The sequence below is a fragment of the Homo sapiens genome, chromosome 3 (genome assembly GCF_000001405.40).
Source record: "Homo sapiens chromosome 3, GRCh38.p14 Primary Assembly".
Lineage (NCBI taxonomy): Eukaryota > Metazoa > Chordata > Mammalia > Primates > Hominidae > Homo > Homo sapiens.
This window is the reverse complement of record NC_000003.12, coordinates 153264881-153272348: the sequence shown is the minus strand read 5'-3', so window position 1 is coordinate 153272348 and position 7468 is coordinate 153264881.

The window sequence follows — 7468 nt, the reverse complement described above, 5'->3', positions numbered from 1 at the left end:
ACTATGGCACAATCCATTCTGAGGTTCCATCATGTTGAGCTTTGACATCTGTCTCTCACCCAAGCATCCCAGCCCTAAGCAATAATATTACAAAGAGGGAAAGAGCCGTCTCTCAGTGCCACCATTCCCTTGGTATTGAATGCCAGGCCCAAATCAACCCTTCCTTCTAAATGAGATTCAATTTGGAAAGGATTTTATCATGTGATAAATGAAAAAGAAAATTAACACTGGGAAACGTACCATCCCAATAAAAAGATAGAAAATGTATATTCAGAATCGGACAGTGTTGTATAAAATTGTATCTTAAAGAGCCTGATAGAGGGTACTACTGCTTTTTCAATCAGCAAGCAGTTACTATTTTTCTATTCTTGATGTATTGTATTCCTAGGGCTGCAAAACAAAGTACCACAAACTGAATAGCTTTAAACAACAGACATTTATTCTCTCACAGTTCTGGAGGCTAAAAGTCTGAAATCAAGTTGTCAGCAGGGCCATGCTCTCTCTCTGAAGGCTCTAGGGGAGAACTTGCTCCATGCCTTTCTCTTGGCCTCTGGTGTTCTTGCCAAGCCTTGGTGTTCCTTGGCTTATTAACACGTTCGTTCAATTCCTGCCTCTGTGGTTACATGGTGTTCTCCTGGAGTGTCTCTCTCTCTCTCTCTTTCTTCTTATAAGGACACCAGTCATAATGGATTAGGGCCCACCCTAATGACATTGTAGTAACTCGATTACTTCTGCAAAAACCCTACTTCCAAATAATATTACATGCAATTACCAGGAGTTAGAATCTTTTAGGGGAGATACAGTACAACCCACAACACTTGGGTAGAGGTTTGTTTCTTTGAAAGGAAATTGGGAAACTGCATAATTAAACAAAATTTCTCAGTGATTTGGTAGATAAGGAAACAAACAGTTACACTTTTAGCCAGTGAATTGTGTTGCTGTTTGTATTGTATTTTTGTTGTATGTCTGGTAAGTCCACATCCTGTACATCTTCAGATGCAGCTGGCATTTAGGACTTTGGGTCACTGCTGAATATTGCTGGATGGATATGACATGAAACCAATTTGAATCTTCTAAATGTTGGCTGTGGATGATATGAATTGATAGGCATATTTATTACCACTGGTAAAAGCACTGCTGGTTTGAAGGAGTGACCTTTCTAGCTGAAATTAATTGGGTCTCTTCAATGACACTACTTGTACATGAATACAATTTTCTGATTCAGAGAAAACAGAATAAAGAAACTACCAAATCAATCAGCCAAAAAGGATATCATGAAGCACTCTTGAGATAATAAATCACAGCACACTGAGGCTTCACATATATATAATGAAACATTTTTAGCAGCTTCAATTCTGCCCCTTCCATCTACCATAAAAAAGTGACTGTACTAGGATAGGAAATTTAGTAAGTATTGTTGATTCAAAAAGCATTTGTGACCACCCTTCTCCCATGCCTGACTCTAGTATAGAAGCTGTTAAAGCTAAAAATGTGAACTCCTAGCTTCTTTCATGACAGGCAGAGGTGGGTCAAGGGGATATGACACAATTCTGGTTAATAATACAGAGGCAGAGGCACCATGGAAGGCATCACTTCTCAATAAAAAGACTATCTCTTCATGAAGAGTGTCCTTGACTCTTACTACTTGCCAACATCCCACCTTTTTGCCAGGAATGTCTTTATGATTCCTGTGGGCAGAAGCCACTTTGCAACTAGGGGTTCAAAAGTTTTCATAAAAATGATGGAGTAAGAGCATTGAAGGTGGAATAAAAAGCCCTGGACTTGGATTCAGGAAGCTAAGTTTTAATATTGGATCTTCCAGTGATTGAACTTGAACTTGGCTTCTATAGCAGAGATTATCAACAAGGGGCAATTTTGCCTGCCAAGTAACATTTGACTGGAGATTTTTTTTGTTGTCACAACTGGGTAGGAGGGGGGCTGCTGGCATCAAGTGGGTAGAGACCAGAGATGCTACTAAACATTCTACAATGAACAAGACAGCTCCCCACAACAAAGAAATATTCAGCCCAAAATGTCAATGACGCTGAGCTTGAGAAACTATAATCTGTGGGTCTCATTTTCATTAATGTTTCAGAGATGACATTTATGGTTCTTTACAAAAATAGAAAGTAGTCTGAATATTTCTCACAAGAAAATACTTCAGTTATAGTACACCCACTTGATAGAATTTAAACTATTTCTTAAATGATATTTATAAAGAGGAAGTAACAATAGCAAAAGTTTCATATTTTTAAAAAATCAATATACAGAAGTGTAGGCACTGAATGAATACCGCCATTATGAAAAGAAAGCGAATGTAAGACACTGATAGTCTTAAGTGTAATAAAGTTGGATCATGACTTGCCTAGGTTAGGAGGTAATTCTGTTGATTTAGTTAAAGTTCAAGGGGTAGCTTTCTCAATATTGACTTTGGAAATAATTGGAGTAGGTTTTATTGATTAATTGTATCTTAACGAGTAGTATTAAAGGCTCTTAAACTCTGAGGTCAAGTATATTTCCGGTAATATGTTCATGTTTAGATTTAGAAATAGTCCTGACCAAAACAGAATGTAAAAGCAGTTGTCATATGTAACTACCCCCAAACCTAAGCCTTTGACAGTGTTATTCTGCAATAAAACATGAAGAATTAAACTAACCAAGTGAGGAAAATAAATAAAAGCTTTAGGACTTCAATTATTTGTGTACTCTCATAATTTTGGTAAAATATCTTTTAACTTGAGAGTTAAGATATTTTCATCTTCTTAGTCAAGGTAAGTAAAATAAGTACAGACCAACAGGTACTGTCTTTTCAGTAATTTCACAGGCTTATGTTTATGGAACTGTGCTGTTAAGGTTAAATTCTCAAACCGGTTTTCAGAACACTTTTTAGTTGTTGAAATATGGTAAAACAATGCTCAGTTTTCTATTTTTAGATACAAGGAACCATTATATATTCAAATTTTGATGTCAGTAAAACAAATTTTGTTGTTTAATTTGCAACTTAAAAATATTTCACGATTGTGTTTTTAAAACACTTGATTGGTGCATCTACAGTCCTCTAGCTAGACACACGGTGTGTTTACAAACCTTGAGCTAGACACAGAGTGCTGATTGGTGTATTTACAATCCTCCCCCTAGACATAAAAGTTTTCCAAGTCCCCTCCCGACTCAGGAGCCCAGCTGGCTTCACCTAGTGGATCCCCTGCCAGGGCCACGGGCGGAGCTACCCGCCAGTCCCGCCCCAGGTGCCTGCACTCCTCGACCCCTGGGCAGTCGATGGGACCGCGGAGCAGGGGGCGACGCCCATCGGGGAGACTCCGGCCGCGCGGAAGCCCAAAGCGGCAAGCGGAGGGGACCGAGGAGGAGGTCAGGAGCGGGTGGGGGGGGGCGGCAAGGGGCATGGCTGGCTGCAGGTCCCGAGCCCTGCCCCGCGGGGAGGCGGCTGAGGCCCGGTGAGAATTCGAGCGCAGCACGGCAGGCTGGCAGTGCTGGGGGACCCGTCGCACCCTCCGCAGCTGCTGGCCTGGGTGCTAAACCCCTCAGTGCCCCGGGCCGGTGGGCCGCGCAGTTCCAAGTGCGGGGCCCGCCGAGCCCACACCCACCCAGAACTCGAGCTGGCTTGCAAGCGCAGTGGTCAGCCCCGGTTCCCGCCCACGCCTCTCCCTCCACACCTCCCTGCAAGCAGAGGGAGCCGGCTCCAGCCTCAGCCAGCCCAGAGAGAGGCTCCCACAGCGCAGCGGTGGGCTGAAGGGCTTCTCAAGCGTGGCCGGAGCAGACGCTGAGGCCGAGGAGGCGCTGAGAGCGAGTGAGGGCCGCCAGCATGCTGTCACCTCTCACTTTGACCATTTTTTAGTTGAGTCATTCTTTTTCTGTTGTTGAGCTGTAGATGTTCTTTGTATATATTCTGGATATCGCTTGTCATACATAAGATTTGCAAATATTTTCTATTCCACGGATTTCCTTCTCATTATGTTGATAGTATCCTTTGATGCACACTATCAAAGGACAACTATTAAACACAACCTATTTAATCCTCATAACAGCTCTATTAAGTGGGTACTATTATTATCATTTCCATTTTACATATGAGGCACTTAGACCTAGAAGATTTAAGTAATGTGGCTGGGCGCGGTAGCTCACGCCTGTAATCCCAGCACTTTGGGAGGCCGAGGCAGATGAATCATGAGGTCAGGAGTTCCAGACCAGCCTAGCTAACATGGTGAAACCCTGTCTCTACTAAAAATATAAAAAATAGCTAGGCTTGGTGGCAGGCGCCTGTAATCCCAGCTACTAGAGAGGCTAAGGCAGGAGAATCTTTTGAACCCGAGAGGTGGAGATTGCAGTAAGCTGAGATGGCACCATTGCACTCCAGCCTGGGCAACAGGACAAGACTCCATCTCAAAAAAAAAAAAAAAAAAAAAAACAATAAAAAGAAGTTTTACGTAGTGTACTAATATCCTATGGTAATGGCCTTAAGTTACATTTTAGGCCATAGAGTTTGTCTCCAGAAACATTATGTCATAGACACTTTTTTTTTTTTTTTTTTTGAGACGGAGTCTCGCTCTGTCGCCAGGCTGTAGTACAGTGGCATGATCTTGGCTCACTGCAACCTCCACCTTCTGGGTTCAAGCGATTCTCCTGCCTCAGCCTCCCAAGTAGCTGGGACTACAGGCACACGCCACCAAGCCCAGCTAATTTTTGTATTTTTAGTAGAGACCAGGTGTGACCATGTTGGCCAGGATGGTCTCAATCTCTTGACCTTGTGATCTTCCCGCCTTGGCCTCCCAAGGTGCTGGGATTACAGGCATGAGCCACCGTGCCCGGCCTCAATTACCTTTTCTTATACTTCATCCTACTGCCTGACTTTTTTCTATCACTTAAAAATATGCCTCCTTTCTGTGTGAAATTCTCCTTGGCTACTATGTTTTTCAGATTATCCTCTATATCCACCTATTTCTTCGGTCTTTTGAATTACAATTTCAAAGGCCTTGCTTCAGCCTCTAGAGCACTTTGCTTATTCTAAACTCTCCAGAAACCACCTCATCCTCTTTGTCATGGGTTGAATTGTGTCCCAAAAAAAAAAGATGATAAAGTCTTAATTTTAGTACCTGTGAATATGACCTCATTTGGAAATCAGGTTTCGTCAATAATCAAATTAAGATGATGGCTGGGTGTGGTGGCTCACACCTGTAATCCCAGTACTTTGGGAGGCCTAGGCGGGTGGATCACTTGAGGTCAGGACTTTGAGACCAGCCTGGGCAACATGGTGAAAACTGTCTCTGCTAAAAATACAAAAATTAGCCAGGCGTGGTGGCGGGCTCCTATAATCCCAGCTACTCAGGAGCCTGAGGCAGGAGAATCACTAGCACCTGGGAGGCGGAGGTTGCAGTGAGCCAAGGTTGTGCCACTGCACTACAGCCTGGGAAACAGGGCGAGACTCCGTCTCAAAAATAAAAAAAAAAAATTAAAAAGTGAGGTCATTTGGGTGGATCCCAATCCAATATGACTATGTCTTTACAAAAGAGGGAAATTTAGACATAGAGACAGACATGCATAGAGAGAACATGATCTGAAGTTGCATGGAGAATGCCATCTGCAAGCCAGGGAATGCCTGAGGCTAGCAGAAGCTAAGAGACAGACATGAAATAGATTGTCTCTCACAGTCCTCAGAAGGAACTAACCCTGCTGACACCTTGATTTTGAACTTCTAGCCCTCAGAACTACACGACAATAAATTTCTGTTATTTAAGCCATCCTGTTGGTTTTACTGTGTTACAACATCCCCAGGAAACTAATACACTCTCCAAGGGCTTGGAGGTAACTGTTTTATGAAGAATTTCTTTTTTTCTGTCCTTTTTTAAAATTTAAGTTCTGGGATACATGTGCAGGACATGCAGGTTTGTTACATAGGTAAACATGTGCCATGGTGGTTTGCTGCACCCATCAACCAATCACCTAGCTGTTAAGCCCCACATGCATTAGCTATTTATCCTGATGTCTCCCTCCCCCAACACCACTCCTTGACAGGCCCCAGTGTGTGTTGTTCCCTTCCCTGTGTCCACGTGTTCTCATTGTTCAGCTTCCACTTATTAGTGAGAACATGCAGTGTTTGGTTTTCTGCTCCTGTGTTAGTTTGCTGAGGATAATGGCTTCCAACCCCATTCAAGCTGCTGCAAAGATGTGATCTCATTCCTTTTTATGGCTGCATAGTATTCCATGGTATATATGTACCACATTTTCTTTATCTAGTCTATCATTGATGGGCATTTGGGTTGATTCCATGTCTTTGCTATTATGAATAGTGCTACAATGAACATATGTGTACACATATCTTTGTAATAGAATGATTTCTATTCTTTTGGGTATATATTCAGTAATGGGATTGCTGAGTCAAATGGTATTTCTGGTTCCAGATCTTTGAGGAATTGTGACACCATCTTCCACAATGGTTAAACTAATTTACATTCCCACCAACAGTGTAAAAGCCTTCCTATTTCTCCACAGCCTCACCAGCATCTGTTGTTTCTTGACTTTTCTTTTTTTTTTTTTGAGATGAAGTCTCACTCTGTTCCCCAGCCTGGAGTGCAATGGCATGATCTTGGCTCACTGCAACCTCTGCCTTCCAGGTTCAAGCAATTCTGCCACCTCAGCCTCCCAAGTAGCTGGGACTACAGGTGCGCATCACCATGCCTGGCTGATTTTTGTATTTTTTAGTAGAGACAGGGTTTCACCATGTTTACCAAGCTGTCTGGAACTCCTGACCTCAAGTGATCCACCCACCTCAGCCTCCCAAAGTGCTGGGATTACAGGCCAGCACTTTGGGAGGCTGAGCCACCACGACCAGCTGTTTCTTTACTTTTTAATAATCACCACTCTTAACTAGTGTGAGATGGTATTTCATTGTGATTTTGATTTGTATTTCTGTAATGATCAGTGATGTTGAGCTTTTTCTCATATGTTTGTTGGCTGCATAAATGTTTTCTTTTGAGAAGTGTCTCTTCATGTCCTTTGCCCACTTTTTAATGAGATTGTTTGTTTTTTTCTTGTAAATTAGTTTAAGTTCCTTGTAGATTCTGGATCTTTTCCAGATGGATAGATGGCAAAAATTTTCTCCCATTCTGTAGATTGTCTGTTCACTCTAATAATATGGTTTAATTTGCAGTGCAGAAGTTCTTTAGTTTACTTAGATCCCATTTGTCAATTTTTGCTTTTGTTGCAATTGCTTTTGACATTTTTGTCATGAAGTCTTTGCCTGTTCCTATGTGCTGAATGGTATTGCCATATTTTCTTCTAGGGTTTTTATAGTTTTGGGTTTTACATTTAAGTCTTTAATTTATCTTGTGTTAATTTTTGTATAAAGTTGAAGGAAGGGGTCTAGTTTCAATTTTTCCACAAATTGTTAGCCAGTTTTCCCAGCACCATTTATTAAATCCTTTCTCCATTGCTTGTTTTTGTCAGGTTTGTTGAG